Source organism: Homo sapiens, chromosome 19, assembly GCF_000001405.40.
Source record: "Homo sapiens chromosome 19, GRCh38.p14 Primary Assembly".
Classification (NCBI taxonomy): domain Eukaryota; kingdom Metazoa; phylum Chordata; class Mammalia; order Primates; family Hominidae; genus Homo; species Homo sapiens.
The window spans coordinates 37,145,540-37,172,921 of NC_000019.10; the positions used below are offsets into that span (position 1 = coordinate 37,145,540).

A 27,382-nucleotide genomic window follows, 5' to 3' on the forward strand; every position below is an offset into this window, starting at 1 on the left:
TTTTCAGGATTGGCATTTATTATAGGCACAAACTTAATATAACTCAAATGATTGTACTAATGTGCTTCTTATATTGTCCTATTTCACAAATGTAAACAGAGAGCACAATTTTTTGTTTTAATAGCAGCATTCCTTGTTATAATAAATATTAAAATAACACCATAATAAAATCACTAAGGATGTAACCTAATTGTGCTGATTTCACAGAGGGTGGAAAACATCAGCCCAGGGGTGGGACTACTGTGTTTATATAATACAAACACCTGAAGGTGGCAGAAACTAGCAGAGACAGAGGATTTCTTAGCATCAGAATTGATATGTTGTTATTTATGATATCTTAATAATTTAGAGGCATATAATAATGACAAGGATTCTGATATTTGTTATAAAGTATAATTGTGTTGATTATATTTAAAACCATTAATAGAAACAATATAATTATAGAATTAAGTAAAACTGTAAGTGGTATGCTATGGCATGGTGTACGGTATGGTACGGTATGAGGAATGTGGAGTAGAGTGTGGTGGGGAGGTGTAGGATATACCATAAATAGTCACACTGGGTTGGGCGAGGTGGCTCAGGCCTGTAATCCCAATGCTTTGGGTGGCCGAGGTGGGCAAATCGTGAGGTCAGGAGATTGAGACCATCCTGGCCAACATGGTGAAACCCCATCTCTACTAAAAATACAAAAAATTAGCTGGGTGTGGTGGTGGGTGCCTGTAATCGCAGCTACTCGGAGGCTGAGGCAGGAGAATCACTTGAACCCGGGAGGCAGAGGTTGCAGTGAGCCAAGATCACACCACTGCACTCCAGCCTGGCAACAGAGTGAGACTCCATCTCAAAAAAAATAAAAATAAAAAATAGTCACATTGGCACTAGTAGCCCATTTGAGAGCTGAGGGTGGAGGGTGTGATTCATCCTGGCATTATGGGAAGTGTCCATGACAACCTTGGCTTTAAGCTGACTTTGGCCACGGGGTCAATGTCTGCCACACTGCATCACATCCATTATCCAACAAGGTGCCTGAGCCCCAGAACCCTCAGCCCTGCCACATTCCTCTTGCTCCTGGGGTTCTATATTTTCCAGTGGCTGCTCCAGTGGAGGAGGTGGGGCAGGTGACACTGACAATGGGGTGCAGGATAGAAAGTGCTAGGCTAGATGCTGATGGGAGTGGCCCCCTGCCTATGGATCCCCCACTCCTGCCCCTTTCCCCCTCTATGTGACCTGCCACTGTGACCAGGAGGAGGCTAAGTTAGATCTTGTAAACAGTGTGGAATGTATGTAGGTAGGATACTCAGTTTGGTACTGCCCTGACATGGAGTTAGAGCTGGGTGTGCTGGACCATGGTGGGAGGAGGCATTAAATCTTGAATTAGAGGACCCAAACCCACCCCACCAACTTCCCCACACATGTTACCAATCTGTGCGGGGCATCTGGTCAACCTCGATATTATTGCTATTATTCATTCATCCATTTAACAAGCTTGTACTGAGCATCTGCTTTGAGCTGGCACCGTGCTGGGCGCCTGGTATACAGCAGAAACAGGACAGACAAAGTCTGGTTCTCATGAGGCTGATGGTCCAGTGGGGAAGAGGGATGAGAAACCAAAAAAAGGAATATTGAATCAGGTCAGATAGTAATAGTATTTGCAATGCAAATATCATACAAAATAAGGGAGCAGCAAGTGAGCTCTACAGATGTGTTACTTCAATGGCAGGATAAGATGGGGATGGAGGCACTGCAAAGGTGGAAGAGGAAAGCAAGATGCACGGGCACTGGAGAAGCAGAGCACTCTCAGAACAGTCGGTGCAAAGGCCCAAAGCCAGAGAAAAGATCCTTGATGTTAAAACAGCCAGAATTGAGATGCCTGACAAATAAAAATGTTGACTAACTCCAACTGCAGACTCTCTGGCCTCTTTTATTGTAGTTATATCTTTACACTACAAACATTAAATGCAACTACGTGAAAGTAGAAATAACCAAAATATTATGTGAAAGTTTGATATGTAAAATATTAAAATTAGGTAATCATATAAAATAAAACATATACTATAAAACAGGTACTATTATATAAAATACAAACTATTTTATTGTCACAAGGAATATACAGTAATAAATATTACAATATGCTATATAACATACTGTAGACACAATTTTCTATAGTATGTAATGACAGGCACATATAAAATTAAAATATATAAATCTAGTTTTTACACTTATAAATCTTTTATCAAATGTAATTCAAGTTATCACATGGTTTACCTAAAATACAACAGCACTTTTGAGATTCATCCATGTTGTAGTAAGTGTCAATAAATCATTTCTTTATGTCTGAGCAGCCCTCCATAGTATTGGTGTACACAATTTGTTTAATCACTCATCCACTGATGTACATTTGTGTTACTTCCTAATTTGGGCAATTATACAATTGCTGTGAACATCTGAGTATAGGTTTTCATGTAAACAGAATTTTTCTTTCATCTAGGGTAAATACCTAAGTGTGGAGTTGCTGAGTCATATGATAAATGTATGGTTAATAGTATAAGAAGCTGCCAAACTTTTGTGCATAGTGGACAGACCGTTTTACAATCCTACAAGCAATGCATGAAAATTTCCATTGGTCTGTATTCTTGCCAATTTATGGCACGTTTTCATTTTTAGCCATTCTAAAAGCCATTCTATAGTAGTATCTCATTGTGGTTTGATTTACATTTTCCTGATAATTAAAGATGTTGAGCATCTTTTCATCACCTTATTTTCCATTTGTTTTTCATAGAACCATATGGATGAATCTCAGATACATCACATTAAATGAAAGCACTCCGACTCAAAAGGAGATATACATACACGTACAAAACACACACACACACACACACACACACAAGGACTCCACTTATACAATATTATGGAAAAGGCAGAACTATAGAGACGGAAACAGACTGGTGATTGCCAAGGGCTGGGAGTGGGAAAAGGGACTAAAAAGGGATAGGAAAGAAGTTAGGGAAGTGAGGGGCCTGTTCTTCATCTTGATTGTGGTGTTGATTGCATGATTAGATACAACTGTCAAAACTCAGAACTCTACACTAAAAAGTGTGACTATTACTGAATGTAAATTATACCTCAATAAATATAACTTTAAAAATATTTCAGTTATGTCCACACAAAAAGCCTGCACAGATATTTATAACAGCTTTCCTCATAATTGCCAAAAGGAAGCATCCAACAGTCCTTCAGTAGGTGAATAAATAAACATCCAGACGATGGAACATAATTTGGCTCTAAAAAGAAATGCATTATCAAGCCATGAAAAGACATGGAGGAAACTGAAATCCACATTACTAAGTGAAAGAAGTCAATTTGAAAAGGCTACACACTGTATAATTTCAACTATATGATATAAAAGATCAAAGGTAAAACTATGGAGACAGAAAAAATGTTGCCAGGATTAGAGGAGATGAAGGGATGACAGGCAGAACACAGAGGATTTTTAGGGCAGTGAAACTACTCTGTGTATAACAGTGGAAACATGCCATGATCCACTTGCTCCAACAAGCAGAAAGTACAAGACACATTCTATGGTGTTACACCAAGGATGAACCCTAATATAACCTATAGACTTGGGGTGGTAATGAGTGTCAGTGGAGGTTCACCAATTGTAACAAATATACTACTCTGAGAGGAATGCTGATAATGTGGGAGGCTATGCATATGTGGATTAGGGGATATATGGGAAACCTCTGTAATTTCTACCCAATTTTGCTTTGAACCTAAAACTACTCTAAAAAATAAAGCCTTCCGTATATACGGGTATATGCATATACATATACGTAAGTATTATAATATTGTTACAATAAATATATAAGAGAAATAATCAAAAGTCATTTACAATAAATTGTTTCCCTTCATGAGGCTTGGGCATACAGAGGATAGTCAGATGCTTATGTTGACTGATGACTAATATTAACAGGATGCTGTCATTGGGCCCTGCTGGCTTGGATCCCATCCATCATGTGACCCAAAAAAAGTCACTTCATTCTCCCATAATCCCATTTTACAAGTGAGAAAATTGAGGCCCAGAGGAGGTTTCTGGGCAGGCTGAGGGTCCCTAAGTGGATCAGTGTTGGCACCAGAATTTGAACCAACATAGACAGCTTTCACTGTTCTGCTCACACCATACTCATGTAGTAGACAGGAAGCCCAGCTTGTGGTCTCCTGAGATCTCCAGATCATCCCTGGCCCACCCTGGGTCCATCATTCCATTGTGCCTTGGGGGGAACTCAGAGGAAAAGGTCTATGAGGCTGGGACCTCATCCTCATCACCATCTTCCAGGGATCATGACCATGCAAACATGGAGATGCAATCTTGGGGGAAGTACAGTAGCCAAGGGTGACTAAGGAACCGCATGAAGCAATGTGGGAAATTGGGAATCAGCAGACATTGGGTTAACGGGACAATGGGGAGCCAAGAGATACCATCAAAATTTAATGGAGGGGTCAGACACTGTGTTAGTGATTAATGGGCATCAACAGACATTGGGCTAGTTTTTGTTTTTTTTTTTTTTAACTGGGGTCCTAGAAAGAAGGGGACAGAAGAGGCTCCAAAATACAGTTGGGAAATGTGGACATTATGGTTCATTGTAAGTCACCGCCATTGCCTGAGGGGAAGGAAGAAAGTTAACAGCATCCACCGTATTGAGGGCATTCCCACATGCTGTGTTAGGGACAGTTAGATACTGCTAGGTGAGTAACGGGAGATAATTGTTCATCATCGTGAGGGAAAAATCAATAAGGAGGATCACAAGACATCCTGCTAGAGGTGTAATAAAAGTATCAGGAGATAGAAACCATTGTATTGCAGGGGGCACACCACTGTCCCCTATTCTGAGGGTTGTAATAAGTGGTCATCACACAGAATGGAGAGTGGACCTTACTAGACATTGTCACAAGTGGGAAGAGGTAACAGACACCATGCTGGAGTGAGGTGATTGTAAAAGAGGTAATGAGGAGATCTCCAGAAACTGTTTCCGGAATTGATGAAGTGTGACACACATAAGAGTAAGGTAAAACAGGAAAAATGGCCAGGCGTCATGGCCCTTTCCAGCCCTAAACATATGGTTGTGTTGGTTTTCATATAAGTTATTAATCTGTTACATGAAAGTTACATCCTTAAGGAAGCCAGATACTAAGCTTCAAGTCAGTGATGAGTACGAAAAAAAAAAAAAGGCAACTGAGTTGGAAGAACTATGACAGCAGAAGGGAGATTTAAGTTGTCCCAGATGACCATAAAATTCTTACCTCGGAAGCTTTCTTGAAGGTGATGGGAGTTCACAAGACACGGTGCTGGGGGTCAAAACACAAAGTGCTGAGGGCCCGTGAGGCTGAGAGACAGTCATGGTAGATAATGAGGGGGGTGCAAGTCTTGGTAGATGACAGTGGGGACTCAACATACATTCTGAGGTTTACGTCTGTATACATAAAGGTTTTTTCTTTTTTTTTTTGTAGCATCTCTTTCTTGATAGAAATACTGAATGAGGGTTGGATATGACCAACTGTGGTAGATTCGAATGAGAAAGAAAAACACCCAGGAGTCTGTTACACAATGTGTTCCACAACGAACAACTCACATAACTTAGGATTCATCACTATCAAAATAACTACGTATTATGTTGTTTTATCATTCAATTTGTTGGCACTATACCTAATCCACAGTAAACAGGATTATCGTTAACTTAATACGATCTTTCTTAGGAAGAATTTGGTAACAGTATTCTATTGTAGTTTTCATGAGAAGGCTTTTCCTATTCACCAAATTGACTCGGTTCCTTGTCAGTATGAATAATGACCCAAGGTTTACTGGGGATGGTGACAATGTAGGAAGGGTCCCTCGCCTCATTCAGTGCCTTCTCAGAGGCCCTCTCCAGAACAGCCATGTGTGACATTCTGCTGTGGTCATTTCTATTTACAATAATATACATATTTTTCTGCTGCATGCGTGCAACAGTGTACAATCAGACCCAACCCTCAGGGGGGTTTTCTCACACTGTTTCTCTCAAGCGTGGCTGCTCTGATGGACGCTGAACACTGATTTCTGAACGAAGCCTTTCCCACAGATGCCACACTTGTAGGGTTTGTCTCCAGTGTGTGTTGTCTGATGTTTATTCAAATTGGACCTGTCAGTAAAGGCCTTCCCACACTCAGCACACACGTAAGGCTTCTCTCCAGTGTGAATTCGCTGATGCACTTGGAGCTGTGATTTTTTAGTGAAAGACTTCCCACAGTCACTGCACTCATAAGGTTTCTCTCCAGTATGAATTCTGTGATGTGTAATCAACTCTGACTTCTGTCGAAAGGTCTTCCCACATTCAGAACAAATGTAGGGCTTTTCTCCGGTATGAGTTTTCTGGTGCTTACTGAGATTTGACCTGCCACTAAAGGCCTTCCCGCACTCGGCACACACATAGGGTTTCTCTCCTGTGTGAACTGGCTGATGCACCAGGAGCTGAGACTTGGAGGTAAAGGACTTCCCACAGTCACTGCATTCATAAGGCTTCTCTCCAGTATGAATTCTTTGATGAGTAATAAAGTTTGACTTGCGGATGAAAGCTCTTCCACACTCAGTGCATACATAGGGTTTCTCTCCTGTATGAATTTTCTGATGAACAATGAGTATTGATTTCTGGTTGAAGGCTTTCCCACATTCGTGGCATTCATACTGTCTCTCTCCAGTGTGAATTTTCTGATGTATATTGAGGTGTGACTTCTGAGTGAAGGCTTTTCCACAAGTATTGCATTCATAAGGCTTCTCCCCAGTATGGATTCTCTGATGTGTAATCAAGTCTGACCTCTGGGTGAAGGCCTTTCCACATTTGGAACATATATAAGATTTCTCTCCTGTATGAGTTTTCTGATGTGTAATGAGATTTGACCGGTTGGTGAATGCCTTCCCACATTTATTGCACATATAGGGCTTTTCTCCTGTGTGAATTCGTTTATGAACATGGAGTTGCGACTTGGAGGTAAACAATTTCCCACAGTGACCACATTTATGAGGTTTCTCTCCAGTATGAATTATTTGATGTGCAATCAAGTGTGCCTTCTGAATGAAGGCCAGTCCACATTTCATGCATATATACGATTTTTCTCCTGTATGAATTCTCTGATGCACTGTGAGTGCTGACTTCTGAGTGAAGGCTTTCCCACAGTCACTGCATTCATAAGGTTTCTCTCCAGTGTGAATTCTCTGATGAATAATCAACTCTGACCTGTAGGTAAAGGCCTTCCCACACTCAGTACATATGGAAGATTTCTCTCTACTTTGAACTTTCTTATGTGTAACGAGGTTGGAATTATTGCTGAAGACCTTCCCATATTCGGTACATATATAGGGCTTCACTCTTGTGTGAACACGTTGATGTACCTGAAGTTGTGACTTGGAAATGAAGGATTTGCCACAGTTACTGCACTCATATGGTTTTTCTCCAGTATGAATTCTTCGGTGTGCAATCAAATGGGTCTTCTGGATGAAGGCCTGTCCGCATTCAATACAGATGTAGGATCTCTCGCCTGTATGGATTTTCTGATGCATCTTGAGTGTGGACTTTTGTGTGAATGCTTTGCCACAGTCAGTGCATTCATGGTGTCTCTCTCCAGTATGAATTTTCTCATGTATACTGAGATCTGAGTTATAAGAGAAGCCTTTCCCACACTGGCTGCATTCATAGAGTTTCTCTCCGGTATGAATTCTCTGATGCCTGAAGAGGGACGACACTTGAAAAAAGGATTTTCCACATTCATTGCATTTAAAGGGTTTCTCTCTCATATGGGTTTTCTGGTGTATAATAAATTCTGGCTTCTGTACAAAAGCCTTCCCACATTCAATGCATACATAGAGCTTTTCTCCTGCAAGAACTTTCAGGTGTACTTTGAGCTGTGACTTCTGGGTGAATATCTTTTCAAATTTGGCGCATTCATAAGCTTTCTCCCCAGGATACATTTTTTGAGGTTGAGAGGATACTTGTTTATAACTGAGGATTTTTCTACATTGATTATGGTCCCATAATTTCTCTCCTGTTGGAATACACTCATGGTTACTATAGGAAGACATTTTATCATTTGGTAATCTTTTTAACATTCTTTGAAGGATTATTTTTATTATGACTGTATAAATCTAAATTATGCTTTAAACCATTTCCAAATGAGGCATATTGATGGGGTCTTTTGGGAGGAGAAATGATGTTTGGGTTCACATGAATTATTTTTCTACTATCCTTATAGTCATATTGCCTCTTTGTTGTCAATATTTTCTTGATGAAAGCAACATCATTTTGATATTTATTTTCTCTGCTGATAGCTCTCTATTTGTCACCAATCTGTCACAATTATTCTAGAATAAAATAGAATCTCACATCACTTTCATCATGACCTTTTCTTTCAATTTGGAAAGAAACCTCTTCAGAGATTCCGTGCTATAAGGTCTGGAATCTAAACTCCGCTCAAATGAGAAACAGGTGATTTTAGTTCAAAGAACAGCTAGCAGAGGCTAGGGGGTATGGTACAAATGACTCATCCAGGCTGAACACAGAGAAAAGGGTGAGGGTGAGTAACGTGAAGAGGAAGGCAGTAACAATGTTGATAGGAAATGTTCTGGAAAACAATTCAGCAGTTAGAGGAAATAAACTAAATGAACAGATAACACCATGGACAGATGTGGAAAAAGTAAGGCAAAAAACACTATATATACCACAGCATCATTCATATAAACTAATGATCCAAACTCTTAATTCACTTACAACATGCATGAAATAAAAAATGTTTCCATCATATAAAACAGTAGCTTATGACAGGCAGAAAAATGGGTGTGGGGGAAAGAGAAAAAGGAATAAATCAAAACATAAATAAGAGAGAATCCTGACCCAGACTCATGATGATAGTGTGTCTTAAACTGAAGACTATGATTAAACTCAAACCTCATCAGGTAAACTATAAAAATAAAGCAATCAAAAACAACAACAAAAACGAACCCTGGTCAATGTGGAATCACTCAAGCAACATCAAGAAAAAAGGTCAGGAAGGGTGATTAATTATGTTAAAGACAGCAGAAAGATAATCCCAAAGATTAAGTAACAGTGACCCCCAAAGTCATCAGTTTATCCAGGCATGAAGGACTGGGAAGAAGTAAGAAATTTCATGGCCACTCCTCTGCAGAAAACAAAAAGAGAGGGTGATTGGACAGAAAGCTCTGAGGCATCTCACAGTAAAAAAAAAAAAAGAAAGAAAAAAAAGAAAAAAGAAAAGAAATAAAAGTGACTAGCAGGAGTGGGAGTGGGTGACACAGAGTAACTTTGAAAGAAAGCAGATCCGTGAATGCGTGAAGGTTAAAGAAAGACTCTAGGACTATGGGGAATGTAGGGGAAAAGAAGAATGTTAGAGAAAATGAGCATAACCAAGAAAGAAAGATCTTTTTTTTTTTTTTTTTTTTTGAGACGGAGTCTCGCTCTGTCGCCCAGGCTGGAGTGCAGTGGCGCGATCTCGGCTCACTGCAAGCTCTGCCTCCCGGGTTCATGCCATTCTCCTGCCTCAGCCTCCCGAGTAGCTGGGACTACAGGCATCCACCACGGCGCCCGGCTAATTTTTTGTATTTTTAGGAGAGACGGGGTTTCACCGTGGTCCCGATCTCCTGACCTCATGATCTGCCCGCCTCGGCCTCCCAAAGTGCTGGGATTACAGGTGTGAGCCACCGCGCCCGGCCAAGAAAGATCTTTAATGAGGGAGACTGGCACATGATTCAGAATCCACGAAGCCAAAGAAGAACACAGAAGTGACAAAGGTCGGCCAGGCGCAGTAGCTCATGCCTGTAATCCCAGCACTTTGGGAGGCCTAGACGGGTGGATCACTTGAGGTCAGGTGTTAGAGACCAGCCTGGCCAACATGGTGAAACCCTGCCTCTACTAAAAGTACAAAGATTAGCTGGGCATGGTGGCTGGCAAACACCTGTAATCCCAGTTACTTGGATGGCTGAGGCACGAGAATTGCTTGAACCCAGGAGGCGGGGGTTGTAGTGAGCTGGGATCATGCCACTGCACTCCAGCCTGGGCAACACAGCCCCGGCTGCGACCCAGGCTGTGACAAAAAATAAATGACAAAGGTCATCCAGGGAGAATGCATTTAGTGATCTGAGAGGCCAAGGGGGCATCAAGCAATACAAAAACATTCAGAACTTTCCAGAAAAAGCATCTTAATAGTATTCCAAGGGTGTTGGTGTTTCTCAAGACAGCTGAGATTTCCTCCCATCTCCCATCTACCGGATTCACACTCGCTTCACTCACCTGGGCAGCTCTGACGTGGCCTCTCACCCTGCAGTGCCCATGGTTCCTTTCCTTGCTCCAACATGACCACCTCTGCTTCAGGAACTTGATATCCTGTTCATGGGAAATGATAAAGGTCTGGGTCCAGCTAATTGTGTTTCAGGGCCCAACCAATAATCTCTTATTCTTTGATGAGGATTTTTTCTTCAGAAAAGTAACCATAACTTTTCAGGGTAAAATTCTGAGTGCCCTAAACAAATAAAGAATCCTAGACAAATCAAGAACAAAATCATCACCTATTTAAGATGCGGACAGCATTCACCAACTGAGAATGAAAACACTCTCAGTGAGGCCTCCTTTCAGATACCAAGGTGACTGTGCTTACCTACTGAGAGCAGGTGGCTGTAGGTCTCCAGCATCACATCCCGGTACAGGTTTCTCTGAGAAGGGTCCAGGTGCCGCCATTCCTCTCTGCTGAAATCGATAGCCACATCCCTGAAGGACACTGATCCCTGTAAGGGCAAATTCTTGTTCAATGTGCACAGTCAGCTTAGAGGGTTGGAGAGACTATATTTAGGAATATGGAATACAGGTCTTGTTGTTTTAAATTTACATTCTCTTTTTAAAAACTCACTCCCATTTCTCTAATACTTTATTATGAAAATTTTCAAACATACCGACAATTTAAAATAATTATGCAGTAAGAAATGTATACCTACCACCTAGGATCAATCATTAACACTTTACTTGCTTTATCATACATCTAAGCCATTCTTTTATCTATCCATCTTGCTTCTTTGTACATTTCAAAGTAAGTTGCAGATGACACCACACTTCTTCCTAATACTTCATTTTTTTTTTCTTCCGAAACAGAGTCTCGCTCTGTTGTCCAGGCTGGAGTACAATGGTATGATCTTGGCTCACTGCAACCTCCGCCTCCCAGGTTCAAGAGAGTCTCCTACCTCAGCCTCCCGAGTAGCTGGGATTATAGGAATGCACCACCATGCCCGGCTAATTTTTGTATTTATAGTAGACACGGGGTTTTGCCATGTTGGCCAGGCTGGTCTTGAACTGCTGACCTCAGGTGATCCACCCGCTTTGGCCTCCCAAAGTGCTGGGATTATGCGTGAGCCACCGCGCCTGGCCTCTCTTAATACTTCAAAATGCAAATCATGAACTAGGGTGTAAAACGTATCAACCTTTTGTAAGTAACATTTACATACAATTAAATGCACCAATCTTTAATTTACCATTTAAAGTTTTGACAACTGTGTACACCTGTATAATCCAGAAATTTCGAAGAAACATTTTATATATATGCATATTAAATATTTAGTTTTACATATTTTGTGGAACACAGAAATCCCATCAAGAATTTCTGCTATTTGTTCTGTACTATAGTCAGCCAATTACTCATTTTTCAAAACTGGCAATTGAAATAAGCTGTGTTTTAGTTTCCTAGCAACTGGATGAATGACCTGCGATATGCTTTCTGATCAATTTAGGACGAGCCCTTATGCTAGCCCTGGGAACACAGAAATAATTATGTGTCCAATCTTCTAGCAACTTAAAAGACTTGGAAAATAAATCAGACTGAAGTTTTTTAAAAAAGAAGACATAACAAATTCATTAAGGTGTTGAAAAGTAGATGCCTTATGGTGGAACACACTGAGGGCCCAAAGGAACAAAAAGTACATTTTACTTGAGGGAGTAAGTTGACATTCCGTAGAGTTGAGGAATTTAACTTGGAAGATACAAAGTGTAACCCAGAATATGGGGTGAGGGGGACAATGCCCAGAAAAGACAAGAATAAAAGGTGTAGAGATAGAAAAATACACCATGAGTTTAGGGAACAGCAAACAGGTTTATATAAATGGAGAGAAGTCTGTCTGATGTGTCAGAAAAGCAGTATAGGAAAAACAGTTTGGTCAAAGTATGGAATTTTTACTTTCAGTAATGGTAATTAAGGTAATCAGATTTATATGTAAATTTTTTTTAAGTTCTGTATTACACAGGATAACCAAACAGCTGGTGAGGAAAAGTTCTTTTTTTTTTTTTTTTTTAGACAAAAGTCTCACTCTGTCGCCCAGGCTAGAGTGCAGTGGTGCGATCTCGGCTCACCGCAACCTCCACCTCCCGGATTCAAGCCGTTCTCTGCCTCAGACTCCCGAGTAGCTGGGATTACAGGCGCACGCCACCACACCAGGCTAATTTTCGTATTTTTAATAGAGACAGGGTTTCACCATGCTGGCCAGGATGGTCTCGATCTCCTGACCTCACGATCTACCTGCCTCGGCCTCCCAAAGTGGTGGGATTACTGGCATGAGCTACTTTACCTGGTTGGAAAAGTTTTTTATAGAATGATTCTAGCTAATAAATAAAGAAGTTAGGATAAAATTAAAATACCACCATGTATAACTACTAATGAAATAACAGATTTAGACAATAATCATTAATGGCTGTTGGAATGTTTCAGTTGAAAGGCTGAAGGGAAGCGTACAATGGATAGATCAGCTAGTAACATCAGCATCCACAAACCAGCTCTCATGTGCCTGCTGACATGGCATAGTAATTAATTTCATTACACTACTTATGAAGTATTCTTGCCAAAAAATAAAATTCAAACCCCTATCTCATCAAGTCTCCAGATCTAACAAGCCATTCACAGGAGTGGGAAGGAGAGTGAAACGTACTGAACAATATGAAGACCAAGACATCAGCTAAATTCAGAAGGTAGCAAATGGCCCACTTCTTCAAAAAATTACAAGAGAATGGACATGGAAGGGAATATTTTCTTTATTAATAGAGACTTTAGAGCCATACTAACCAAAGGCAACTTGTGGACTTTCACTAATTAAAATGAACCAATCTTAAAAAAATATTTATGACAATTTAGAGAAATGCAAATGGTGGGTATTAGATGATATCAAGGAATTACTGTTATTTTGTTGTGTGACATTAGCTTACTGGTTATGCTAAACACAAAGGAAAAAGGGAATTCATATCTCTCCGAGATACATATCAAGGTATTTTTACACAAAACATGGTGTTTGAGATTTGCTTTAAAATAATCTAGCTGCTGAATGGGAGGTGGTTTCAGATAAAGTAAGAATGGCAGAATGGGCCAGGTGTGGTGGCTCACACCTGTAATCCCAGCACTTTGGGAGGCCGAGGCAAGTGGATTGCTTGAGGTTGGGGGTTTGAGACCAGCCTGGCCAACATGGAGAAATCTCATCTCTACCAAAAAATACAAAAATTAGCTGGGTGTGGTGGCACACACCTATAATCCCAGCTACCCAGGAGGCTGAGGCACGAGAATCACTTGAACCCAGGAGGTGGAGATTACAGTGAGCTGAGGTCGTGCCACTGCACTCCAGCCGAGGCAACAGAGTGAGACTCCATCTCAAAAAAAAAAAAAAAAAAAAGGCAGAATGTTGATGACGACTGAAACTGGGTGACAGGGACAATCGGTGAAAGGGATCTTTATACTATTATCTTTACTTTTGCATATATTTAAATTTTTTCATAATAAAATGCTTTTTGAAAACAAAATACATGATCCTCCAAATTAAAAAATCTAACTTGGAATTGCACAATGAAAGGAATGCCTATTACCACATGGAGCTGTATACATTTAAAGAAAGTATGCTAGGGACTTGAATACCCCTCCCTCACCTTAGCAATTTATCAAAATACTAGACAGGACATCATCAAGGTTATAGAAAAGGCAGCTGCAACAAACAACAGCAGAATGCACATTCTTTTCAAGCACCCATAGAAAAGTGAGCATGACAACCATACCCTAGGCTGTGAAACAAACCTCAACAAGTTTACAAGAATTACAACAATACAAAGTATGTTCCACAAGGGAATCAAACAAAAATTAATAACAGAAACAAAACAGACAAAATCTCCAAGCAAATTAAAAAATAACAAACAAAAACAACCTAAAAAACCCACAAAATATTTGAAAATTAACAGCACTCTTCTTTAATGACCCACAGGTCAAACAAGATATCGCCAAAATAATATTTAAAATACACAGAGTTCTATGTATAGACAGTAAAAATACAACCTATCAAAATCTGTGGGATGCAGGTAAAGCAAGGCTGAGAGGGAAATTTATAGTACTAAAGGATTACATTAGAAAAGGGAAAAAGCTACAAATCAATAATGTAAGCTTGTACCTCAAAAAACTAGAAAAAGAGGCCAGACATGGTGGCTCACTCCTATAATCCCAACACTTTGGGAGGCCAAAGTGGGAGGATTGCTTGAGCCCAGGAGTTCGAGATCAGCCTGGGAAACAGGGCAAAACCCCATCTCCATCAATAATACAAAAATTAGCCAGGTGTGGTAGTGTGCACTTCCCAAATAGTGGTCCCAGCTATTTGGGAGGCTGAGGCAGGAGAATCACTTGAGCCTGGGAAGGCAGAGGATGTAGTGAGCTGAGATGGCACCACTGCACTCCAGCCTGGGCAACAGAGCCAGAACCTGTCTCAAAAATAAATAAATAAATAAATAAATAAATAAATAAATAAATAAATAACTAGAAAAAGAAGAGCAAAAGAACTCAAAAGCAAGCAGAAGGAACTAAATAATAAAAAGTAGAAATCAACAAAACTGAAAACAAAAGATAGAGAGAAAAATCACTGTAACACAATCCAGTTATTAGAGAACAAAATAATAAAACCGATAAATTCACTGATTGGTCTATTAGTCAACCAGACTGGCAAAGATAAAAAGACACCAATATTAGGAATAAAACAGTAAATATCATTATAGATGCAGCAGCCATTTAAAATACAATGAGAAAAATAAACACTCCAAGCTAATAAATTCAATAACTTAGAAAAAAATAAGCCAATTCCTCAAACATCACAAACTACCAAAACTCAAACCTTTGAAAATGGATAAGATAAACCATCTTATGACCATTAAATTAATTTAAATTAATAATTTAAAAGCTCCCGAAAAAGAAACCTCTAGGCTAGATAGTTCTACCAGAGAATTCTTTTTTTCTTCTTCTTTTTAATTTTTTTTGTGAGACACGATCTTGCTCTGTCGTCCAGGCTGAAGAGCAGTGGCGTGATCATCGGTCACTGCAGCCTCGAACTCCTGGGCTCAAGCGATCCTCCTGCCTCAGCCTCCTGAGTAGCTGCCACTACAGACACATATCACCATACCCAGCTTTTACCAAAGAATTCTATCGAACTTACAAAGAAGAATGTGTCATTTTTACATAATCTCTTCCAGAAAATAAAAGAGGAGAAACACTTCCAAACTAATATTTTTAAGCCCAGTATTACTCCAATGTCAAAATCAGACAAACACAGTAACAAAAAAAAAAACTACAGGCCAATATCTCTCATGAATTTAAATGCAAACATTCCCAACAAAATGTCAGCAAACTGAATTCAAGAATCACTAAAAAGAATCACGTACCACAATAAACTGGAATTTATGGGGGAACTCTTTGTACTATATTTTCTAACTCCTTATGAATCTGTAATAATTTCAAAATAAAAAACTGAAATATACATATTACTTAAGAAAGATTATTTTCAAAACATACATAACATTTGGGAATGGACAAGACTGGAAGATCAGAGACTCATTGCACAATTGATGAGAGAGAATATAAATTGTAGTTGAGCCTGAACAACACAGGTTTGAACTACGCAAGTCCACAGATACATGAATTTTTTTCAATAAAAGTTACATATAGTGTGCATGCCTCTCCTGCCTCCCCTTCCACCTTCTCCTCCTCTTCCGCCTCTGCCACCCGAGCCAGCAAAACCAAACTCTCCTTTTCCTCCTACTCCTCAGTCAGCTCAGATGTGAAGATGACAAAGATAAAAACCTTTACGATGATCCACTTTCACTTAATGAATATTGAATACAAATATCTTCCTTTTGATTTTCTTAATAACATTTTTTTCTCTAGCTTACTTTATTCTAAGAAAAAAAAAGTCATGTATGAGCAGGTCTCTGAATTCAGGAGAGTGCACGAGCACACAGGAAGAAATTGGAGACAGAAATGTATTAAAGATACTTGTGATCATTAATATCTGAAAGTATGATTCTTTTTTTTGTTTTTTGAGATGGAGTTTCACTCTGTTACCCAGGCTGCAGTGCAGTGGCGCAATCTCGGCTCACTGCAACCCCTGCCTCCCAGGTTCAAGCGATTCTCCTGCCTCAGCTTCCCAAGTAGCTGGGACTACAGGCACCGGCCAACATGCCTGGCTAGTTTTTCTATTTTTAGTTGAGATGGGGTTTCACCATGTTGGCAAGGCTGGTCTTGAACTCCTGACCTCGGGTCATCTGCCCATCTGGGCCTCCCAAAGTGATGGGATTACAGGCGTGAGCCACCACGCCCGGCCTAAAAGTATGATTCTTAAAAGCTACTTTTTTAATTTATTCATTTAATTGTGTTCGGAGATTACAATTTGTTTCTTTGTGATGTGTGTTGATTCTGTTTATGAGGCTTACAATATCTTCATTTCTTAAAAGGAAGGCTTATACACTGTTGGTGGGAGTGTAAATTAGTTCAGGCCTTATGGAAGACAGTGTGGCGATTCCTCAAAGACCTAAAGACAGAAATACCATTTGACCCAGCAATCCTGTTACTGGATATATACCCAAAGGAATATAAATCATTGTATTATAAAGACACATACCCACATATGTTCTCTGCAGCAGTATTCACAATAGCAAAGACATGGAATCAATCTAAATGCCCATCAGTGATAAACTGGATAAAGAAAATGTGGTGTCTATATATACACCATGGAATACTATGCAGCCATAAAAGAGACTGAGATCATGTCTTTTGCAGGAACATGGATGGAGCTGGAGGTGATAATCCTTAGCAAACTAATGCAGGAACGGAAACCAAATACCACACGTTCTAACTTATAAGTGGGAGCTAAATGATGAGAACACAGGGACACAAAGAAGGGAACAACACACACTGGGGCCTTTTGGAAAGTGGAGGGTGAAAGGAGGGAAAGGATCAGAAAAAATAACTAATGGGTACTAGGCTTAATACCTGGGTGATAAAAGTCTATACAATAAACCCCCATGACACAAGTTAACCTATATAACAAACCTGCCCTTGTACCTATAAACTTAAACCAAAAAAAAAGTTCCCTATATACCTGAAATGAAGACGCATGCTCTAGTTTTCTCTTCATCACACACTTGCATATTCATGCCCTACACACACTGAACCCCCAGCCCCCAAAACTAATGTCATCAAAAAATTTAATGGGGAATCAAGACAATGTCATGTTAGGCTAGAATGGAGTTTTGACACCTCACCAAATGATCTTATACAAACAGTTTGTCAGGAAGAAATCTCCTCATTCAAAGACAATAAACATCTCCTGATGTACAAAGATGCTATGAGTAAAAGGATGAAAAAAAAAAGAGAGGAGATTAAGAAGAATACACTAGAAATAAATTGACATACAACAGAAGAAATCATAACCTCCATGAATTCAAGGAATTTACTAAAACAATTAACTGCTTAGGGAAAAACAGATTAAGAATATAGTGATATAAATTTCTGAAAAATAAATTAACAGAACTCAGTAAAAAAGTAAAAAAAAAAAAAGCAACACAAAAATAAAAGTCTCCCTGAAAAAAATGAGAAGACCCTGCAAAAACACAAAAGGTGGCAAAGAGCAGATTAAGGCAAGTGAGCAACATGAGACGGAAATAAAGATATTTTTTAAAGAAAATAAGAGGAGTTTAATAAAAACATCCAATGAACAAAAGAATCCTTGAATTGGCAGTGTAGAACTGTTATCATTATTCACAGTACAAATTTAATAAATACTGTCTTAAAGAGTAGATTCGAATATTTAGTTCAAGAAGTTAACATCATAAAGATGACACACACACACACACACACACAAAAACAAAAAAGAATCCAAACATTCCAAATTACATGGAAGACACACAGAAACAAAGCACAAATATAGAGTATATAGTGAAAGATTTATAAAATAGCCACATCAGAAGCATAACATAAAATGCATCTTTCCACACACACACACAAAAAAGCACAAGAACTCCAAAGGATGACATTAAAAAGATGACCAAAGGCATATCTGGAGTTGCCAACAGAAAAGAAATAAGAGCCTCCTCCTTAATATTAGATAGGGCTGAATTGCAGGGGAAAAAATATTAAACAAGGACACAATGTGAAATGAGTTTCGGATGCCGTATTTACTATCTGTGCACCAAACTACATAACATCAAAATTTATAAACAAAAACTATAGGAAAAAGGCCGGGCGTGGTGGCTCATGCCTATAATCCCAGCACTTTGGGAGGCCGAAGCGGGTGGATCACGAGGTCGGGAGATCGAGACCATCCTGGCTAGTCTCTACCAAAAATACAAAAAATTAGCAGGGCGTGGTGGCGGGCGCCTGTAGTCCCAGCTACTCGGGAGGCTGAGGCAGGAGAATGGCGTGGACCCGGGAGGCGGAGCTTGCAGTGAGCCGAGATTGCACCACTGCACTCCAGCCGGGGCGACACAGCAAGACACTGTCTCAAATTAAAAAAAAAAGAACTATAGGAAAATATAGATAGAAATACATTTGTGGTGGGAAACTTTAATAATATCTCTCAGCAACTTGAGACAAAGTAGAAAAAAATGAGTAATACTATAGAAACCTCATAGCTATATATCTTATTGATAAGCTATCAAATTTTTTTCTTTTCAAGTGCCTATACAACAATCCCAAAACAAAACAAAAAACAAAGAAATACCCGTAATAATCTCTCGAAAAGTAAATTTCTCCAATGCTGCAATCCTAATCTTATTGAAGTTTTTTGCTTTTGTTTTCAAGACAGGGTGTCACTGTCACCTAGGCTGGATGTAGTGGCAATGTCGTGGCTCACTGCAGCCTTGACAGGCTCAAGCCGTCCTCCAATCTCAGCCTCCCAAGTAGCTGGTATCACAGGTGCCCCACCACCACACTCAGTTAATTTTGGTTTTTGTTGTAGAGACAGGGTCTCACTATGTTGTGCAGGCTGGTCTCAAACTCATGGGCTCAAGCAATCCTCCCGCCTCAGTCTCCCAAAGTGCTGGAATTACAAGTGTGAGCCACCACATATGGCCAAAAGTAAAGTTAAAAAATGAAAATCTTAAAACCTAGAAATAAAATGTGGTAAATGGTATTTAAAGATTTGGTGGGGTAGTTAATGTTCTAGAAATTCATCCTTTTCAGCTGGGTGCGGTGGCTCATGCCTGTAATCCCAACACTTTGGGAGGCTGAGGCGGGTGGATCACGAGGTCAAAGTTGAGACCATCCTGGCCAACATGGTGAAACCCCGTGTCTACTAAAAAAATACAAAATAATTAGCTGGGCGTGGTGGCGCACGCCTGTACTCCCAGCTACTCGCTGGGCTGAGGCAGGAGAATTGCTTGAACCCGGGAGGCGGAGGTTGCAGAGCCAAGATCACATCACTACACTCTAGCCTGACTACAGAGCAAGACTATGTCTCAAAAAAAAAAAAAAAGAAATTCATCCTTTTCATTTAGATTTTTTTATTCATTTGCATGAGATAAATTATTTTTCTAAATTATTTTTAGTACAGTTTTGCTATATACCAGAGCTTCTGATATATATATACCATTTTTATTGTTTTTGAGATATTTTACAATTTTAGTTTTGACTTTGGCTTTGGAGTGGGTTGCTGAGAACATAGCAGTTGTTTCACTAATCCCAGTAAAAACCTACTAGGCTATTGTTTTCTTCTACTCTTCAATGCAGTTAGTTAACATATTTGACTTCTGAATCTATCTTCATAATTTCCAGTTCTTTCAGGCATCAAGGTTAACACTGTAAACAAAATAAAACAAAAACCAAAAGCAAGGTTGAGAATAATTTTAAATATTATTCTTTACCCAAAACTTCAGCATAATGACCAACTATAAAAATGCATGACCTTTCCATTATTTTTTACTGTGTTGGAAATGCTGAATCAACATTTTAATTTCTTCAAGGACTTTGAACCATTTAAATTCTTACCAATTATATCTATTTTTTGTAAACTTTTATCCTTTTATTTATACTTTCATATTTTTGGCATGATTTTGTATAATATTCATTCATGATTGTTTGAATCTTAGGTACGGAACTAACTGTTTCTCCTGTTTTGTTACATTCTTTTGTCTTTTTTTCAGTCTTGCTCCGTCGCCCAGGCTGGAATGCAGTGGTATGATCTTGGCTCACTGCAACCTCCGCCTCCCAGGTTCAAGCCATTCTCCTGCCTCAGCCTCCCAAGTACCTGGGATTACAGACCTGCACTGTGGCACCCTGCCAATTTTTGTATTTTTAGTAGAGATGGGGTTTCGCCATGTTGACTAGACTGGTCTTGAACTCTTGGCCTCAAGTGAACCACCCACCTCAGCCTCCCAAAGTGCTGGGATTACAGGTGTGAGCCACCATGCTGCCCAGTCTTTTTTTTTTTTTTTGAGACAGAGTCTCGCTCTCGCTCTGTCCCCCAGGCTGGAGTGCAGTGGCACAATCTCGGCTCACTACAACCTCTGCCTCCTGGGTTCAAGCAATTCTCCTGCCTCAGCCTCCTGAGTAACTGGGACTACAGGTGCGCACCACCACATCCGGCTAATTTTTGTAGTAGAAACAGAGTTCCACCACGTTGGCCAGGATGGTCTTGGTCTCCTGACCTCGTGATCCACCCATCTTGGCCTCCCAAAGTGCTGGGATTACAGGTGTGAGTCACCATGCCCGGCTGCACAGTCTTTGATTATGTAGATATTTACTCCATTTTTTGATTGTCAACACATCAACTTGTCAACACATTTTTTGATTGTCAACACATCAACACAGCAACTTGTGTTTCTGTCAAACTCATACCTTAGGTCTTTTTTTTTTTTAAACGTCCAGGATTCCAAAAAGAAGCAATTAAATCTATAGTTTTTCCCCTCTACCCACAGGATAGCTTTAGCACATAAACTTACTTTATTTATTTATGAGACAGGGTCTCACTGTGTCACGCAGACTGGAGTACAGTGGCATGATCTTAGCTCACTGCAACCTCTACTTCCCAGGCTCAAGCGATCCTCCCACCTCAGCCTCCTAAGTAGCTGGGACTACAGGCCTGCACCACCACACCTGGCTAATTTTTCTATTTTTTGTAGAGACGGGGTTTCACCATGCTGCCCAGGCTGGTCTTGAACTCCTAAGCTCAAGCAATCCACCCACTTCAGCCTCCCAAAGTGCTGGGATTACAGGCATGAGCCACTACACCCAGCCTACCACACAAACTTTAAAATGCACTACTTTATCCAAATGTTTTGTTTTGTTTTGTTTTTGACATGGAGTCTCACTCTGTCGCCTGGGCTGAAGTGCAGTGGCACAATCTTGGCTCACTGCAACCTCTGCCTCCCAGGTTCAAGCAATTATCCTGCCTCAGCCTCCTGAGTAGCTGGGATTACAGGTGCCCGCCACATACCCAGCTAATTTTTTGTGTTTTTAGTAGAGACGGAGTTTCACCATGTTGGCCAGGCTGGTCTCGAACTCCTGACCTCATGATTCGCCCACATTGGCCTCCCAAAGTGGTGGGATTACAGGCACTGGGCCTGGCCCCAAATGCTTTTTAATTGTGGTAAAAATACACATAACATAAAAGTTGCCATTTTAATATTTTTAAGTGACCAGTTTAGTGACATGAAGTACATTCACGTTGTGTAAGAGCCTTTTACTTTTTATTTTTATTTTATTTTATTTTATTTTATTTTATTTTATTTTATTTTATTTTTGAGATGGAGTCTCGCCCTGTCGCCCAGCCTGGAGTACAATGGCACGATCTCGGCTCACTACAACCTCCGCCTTCCAGGTTCAAGTGATTCTCAGCCTCAGCTTCCCAAGTAGCTGGGATTACTGGTGCGTGGCACCACGCACGGCTTATTTTTTGTGTCTTCAGTATGAGTCTTCAGTATATGAGTTTCACCATGTTAGCCAGGCTGGTCTCCAACTCCTGACCTTGTGATCCACCCGCCTTGGCTTCCCAAAGTGCTGGGGTTACAGGCGTGAGCCACCGCCCCAGACCTTACTTTTTATTTCTAATTTAATGCTCTTAGAAAACAGAATCAGTATGATGGCAAAGGTTTCTATTCTTTGTCTGCCTTGAGAGTAGTGTACTAAAATGGCCAATGGCATATTTAATGATTTCTGTTCATTTTTACTTAATATAGTTCAAAAATACATTATTAGTTAAACAAATGTTGATAACTTTTATAATTATTTGTATATTCTTCCTTTTATAAGTATGAACCATCCTCTTCATCCCTTTAAGTGATTTTCACCTTAAATTCCTTTTGACCTGTTCCTAAATTGCATCCCTAGCTTTCTTTTGGTTCATTCCTTTATTTTTAAATGAGGATAAAAGCAGCCCCTGACCGCTGAGAGTTAGCCTGGTACTATCAGTTAAACCTCAGTTTTGCTAGAAGCTAGCCTGGCAGGGGCCAGCTAACTCATGGTGTTCTCCATGGCGCTACACAAAAATAATCTCTTGGAACACCAACAGCAAACAAGACCAATCTCTGACCACCATGGTGGAAGACAAAACCAAGACCACTCTGTCATTATACTTGAGCACAGACAAAAATCACAATCTTCTTCAAACCATAAAAATCTCCTTACTCTGCATAAGGAAAGTGACTGCCAATTATACCTTTACCAATTATAGCTTTTGCTTCAATCTACCCTTCATATTTTCTAGGTAAAAATGATTAAGATACCCAATCATAAAATTTCCCAATAGGAACAGAAGTAGAGGTTCAGTGAAATTCAGCTAGAAGATTCTTATTACCTGTGACTAAAACCAGAAATGAAATTCTACTACAACTTACACATGCAACAGAAAGGAAAGACATGAGAAGAATGCCTACTGCTACATAGTTCATAATATGAGCTGTATTTTACCAAACAAATATTTAAAAAGCAATGTGTGAAAATTTAGTCTACTATGGCACCTTTTGTGAAATAGAAAGAAAAAAATGTGTACTTGTTTTTACTTGTTTATAGAACTAAGCAATCAAAGAAAAAGAATAAAATCGGTCCTGTATGTTGAGAAACATGGGGGTAGGTGGGGAACGGAGGTGGGTGAATCACAGATCCATGTTTCCCCTGAATTTGTTTCCTATAACACTTTTCAGGGTGTGTTGCCTTTAAATGCATTTCTAATTGTTTTTAATTTTTATTTTTTACTATTATTCCCATTTTACCAATATTATTTTTGAACGAAGTGTATATATTCCCTATTCAGAAAACTAAACTTTCCTAATACACTATCACAATATCTCCAGAGGCATAAGAAATAAAATTATACCCATGAAATAAGAACAAGATGCTAATCAAAAAGAATATTTAGAAAATAAATTACAGTTATTAAAAATTAAAACGTTGAATTAAAATGTTGATAGTGGTAACGAGAAACTCAAAAGAAGGGCTGGAAGGCAAATGTGACAAAGCTTCCTGAAAAAGAGAGCAGCAAAGAAATAGAAAACAGTAGAGGGAAAAAAATGGAGAACCAATATCCGAAAAACAGAAATGTAAAAAAAAAAAAAAAAGAAAGAAAGAAAATATTTGTGTTTGAGGAGGCAGTTTAGGAAGAAACAAGAGAAATACTTTGAAAATCCCACAGAAAAGTGACTTCTAACCAGGAAAATCTATCCACAGCCCAAAGATCAATGTAGTGTGATGACAAAATAAACAACAGTTTTTCTTAATAGTCCACCTCTCCACTGTCGCACAGATGGCCTCCAGAGACGAAGACATTACCCACATGTTGCTCATTCTCAACAGGAAGATCAAGATTTGTTTCAGGAGCAGCAGGTCTAGAGTCCAGCTGCTTCCTGTGGCCCAGCTCCCTCCCTCAGTCATGAGGTTCTAGTGACAGACCAGAGATACCTAGTCCTGGATTGAATTCCCACCCCCCTGGGACTCCTCCTTCTCACCTCATAGGAGCTGCCATGATCCTCTGGAGCCAGGGCTGAGGATTTCTGAGGTGAGGTCCAATTAGCTGGCATGGCCACACTGGGTCTCAACCCTTTTTCTGTAGGGTGTCTGAAGCTTGGCAGTCATCTGTGAACTCAAGCAGAGCTGCTCTGAAGAGATGGGCTGGAGTCTAGAGGAAAATCTGGCCCAGGGGCTCCCCAGAGACACCCAGAAACCTGGAAAGACAATGTTCCCATAGTCAGTCATTTCACATTCAACACATAAGCACTTCCTGGATATATCAAGGTGCAGGTCCCTGAGCTAGAAACCAAAGCAGTGGTTCTCAAATGGGTATGCATTCAAGTTACCTGGAGGACCTGTTAAATGAAACACAGTTAAAAATTCTCAGCCTACTCCACAGTTTCTGATTCAGTAGGTCTAAAGTAGAACCCAAAAAGTTTCGTTTCTAACTGGTGCCCAGGAAACGCTGATGCTGTCAGTACAGGGACCACACTTTGAGAACCAGCGCTGAGGAGAACATAAAATTTAACAAAATCTGTGATAGGTATTAGTTACGGTGAAATATGGGAAAAGTCATGAGAGATGGAGTAATGTTACTGCAGATTTGAACTGCAGCTCTGACACTTTTCACCTATGAGAACAGAAGTTTCTTCACTTTCTTTTGAGACGGAGTCTCGCTCTGTCGCCAGGCTGGAGTGCAGTGGTGCGATCTCGGCTCACTGCAAGCTCTGCCTCCCAGGTTCAAGCAATTCTCCTGCCTCAGCCTCCCAAGTAGCTGGGATTACAGGCATGCGCCACCATGTCCAGCTAATTTTTGGTAAAGACGAGGTTTCACCATGTTGGCCAGGATGGTCTGGATCTCCTGACCTCCTGATCCGCTCGCCTCTGCCTCCCAAAGTGCTGGGATTACAGGCGTGAGCCACTGCGCCCAGCCATTTCTTCACTTTTAATTTCAGAAATGAGGATGAAAATGCTTATCTCAAAGTTACAAAAATTAAATGAGATAATACTTGTAAAGTACTCAACACCTCCCAGGCACACAAAAATCATACAATACATATCAGCGATTACCATGCATTATCAGATATTAAAACAATATAAAAACAATGTAATAAAAACAAGTAAAACAATAAATATACCAGACAATATTGATCTATATATGTGATAAAAGTGGTATTCAAATGAGTGTGCATAAGACATTCATTGCATAAATGGCAGTGATATAATGCAGTGATATAACTGGCTGGCCACCTGGAAAAAAACAAACTAGATCTCCATCACACACTATTCAGTAGGCAAATGCCAGCAGGACTGATCACTTAATTATGTGTATTTGTTAAATCACAAAGACTATTAAAATAAATTTTAGAAGTATACATGTGTATAACACTGTGGTGGGCTGGGAGGGATCTTATTACACGTGAGAGGAAACACAGACTCTGTAACAGAAAAATCAGATACTTTTGATTAGATGATATTTCCTAACTTTATGTTAAAATATACCACAAAAAAAAGTAGGACAAAAGATATGAAAATTCACAGAAAAGGAAACAAATGGCAATTAACCAAATAAGATGCCAACTTTAGTAACTGGAAAATGCATTGGAGCAATTAGATATAATTTTCCCTCAAAATTTTAAAAACTTTTAAAATGCAACAATATCCACTGCTGGAAAAGCATCTGGGAAAATGAGTTATTTTATAAATTGTTGGTATAAGCTTGAATTGTTATATTTTGAGCTACTTAGTCATATCTATAAAGTATTAAAAATGCACATATGCCGGGCGCAGTGGCTCACGCCTGTAATCCCAGCACTCTGGGAGGCGGAGGCAGGTAGATCACCTGAGGTCAGGAGTTTGAGACCAGCCTGGCCAACATGGTGAATCCCCGTCTCTACTAAAAAATACAAAAAATTAGCTGGGCGTGGTGGCGGGTGCCTCTAATCCCAGCTACTCTGGAGGCTGAGGCAGGAGAATCCGTTGAACCCACTAGGCAGAGGTTGCAGTGAGCTGAGATCGCGCCACTGCACTCCAACTTGGGTGACAGAGCGAGACTCCATCTCAAAAAAAAAAAAAGTGCACATAGTTATTCCTAATAATTTCACATATATAAAGCAGAAAAAGAAGGACAAATGGACAAATAACCTTTCCAGAGTTGAGTACTTTACCTTCCTCTGTAATTAAGCAGACAAAATAATCTGTGAGGAGACAGATATATTTTTTGAATATATGCTTAATTAATATCTATAACAATACAATTAGAGAACATAGTACACTGTTTCTATGTAATAGATGTGACATTCATGAAAACTGACCACGAACTAGGTCATAAAGCAATTTTTCAATTTGACCATTAAACAGACATTACTTTAAAAAGGAACTTCTAAATAACTCATGGATCAAAGAAAAAACCACTTAGATTTGAACAATTTTTAATACAAAGATTCACCAAAACTTGAGAATTTTTATATTAAAGAAGACTGAAAATTAAAAAGCTGAACTTTCAACTCAGGTTAGAAAGCAAGCTGATTACAGTCCTCACCGATCACCATAACTGACCCTACAGGCTCTGTCACTGACCACAGACTCCCATCACTGACCCCCAAACCTCAATCACTCATCCCAAAGAGCTCCATCAATGACCTGAGAAATCCGTCACAATCAACAACGGACGCCACAGAACCCCATCACCGAAGCCTGAAACCGCAATCACTAACTCCACAGGCAACCTCGACACCCCCTATTACTGGCTCCACAGAAACCCCAATCGTGATCAACCAAAATCACCTCAAAGATTTATCGGTATTGGAATATGAAAATACTCCTGACACCAGCGGCAAAAAAGCCTTGGAAGACCACTTCCACTTCCGGTCCGACTTCTAGCACCTCCCCTTTGTAGGCTGTTGATATGGCGCATGCTCTGAATAAACTTGGAAGCCAGTTTCCTCGAACAGTCAACAGGGCGCAGACACAGCGCACAGGTTCCGTAATGTGGCGCTGTCCGGCAGAGAACATGGCCGCGCCCTTATGGTGTTTATTCGCGTGGGCCGCCATTTTGAAAGCATATCCATTCCGTAGAGCA

At 39.9% G+C, this 27,382-nt stretch overlaps 1 protein-coding gene across 4 annotated transcripts, besides 3 other annotated features; it reads right to left on the reverse strand.

Moving 5' to 3' along the window:
* Positions 1-27,156, reverse strand: ZNF585A (zinc finger protein 585A). 4 transcript variants are annotated; one of them, NM_152655.4, is made up of 6 exons: positions 27,088-27,156; positions 24,300-24,515; positions 20,056-20,157; positions 10,690-10,816; positions 10,326-10,418; positions 1-8,067 (listed from the first exon to the last, which is right to left on the reverse strand). In NM_152655.4, exons 4-6 carry the CDS (start codon positions 10,721-10,723, stop codon positions 6,050-6,052), a joined length of 2,145 nt encoding a protein of 714 aa, NP_689868.1. In that variant the 5' UTR covers positions 10,724-10,816; positions 20,056-20,157; positions 24,300-24,515; positions 27,088-27,156; the 3' UTR covers positions 1-6,049. The 4 variants fall into 4 exon arrangements, 3 of the variants coding, with proteins under 3 accessions (NP_689868.1, NP_954577.1, NP_001275729.1); NM_199126.3 differs by lacking the exon at positions 27,088-27,156 and adding an exon at positions 26,843-26,897; NM_001288800.2 differs by lacking the exon at positions 20,056-20,157.
* Positions 27,057-27,246: an enhancer, noted in NCBI's record as "active region_14539". NCBI's record gives its function as "activates an Ori minimal core promoter by ATAC-STARR-seq in GM12878 lymphoblastoid cells {active_cell/tissue: GM12878}" and the evidence as "EXISTENCE:reporter gene assay evidence [ECO:0000049][PMID:35858748]".
* Positions 27,057-27,382: a biological region, named in NCBI's record as "Sharpr-MPRA regulatory region 11816".
* Positions 27,088-27,382: an enhancer, noted in NCBI's record as "tiled region #11816; HepG2 Activating DNase unmatched - State 1:Tss, and K562 Activating DNase matched - State 1:Tss". NCBI's record gives its function as "activates a minimal TATA promoter and a strong SV40 promoter by Sharpr-MPRA in HepG2 and K562 cells {active_cell/tissue: HepG2 | K562}" and the evidence as "EXISTENCE:reporter gene assay evidence [ECO:0000049][PMID:27701403]".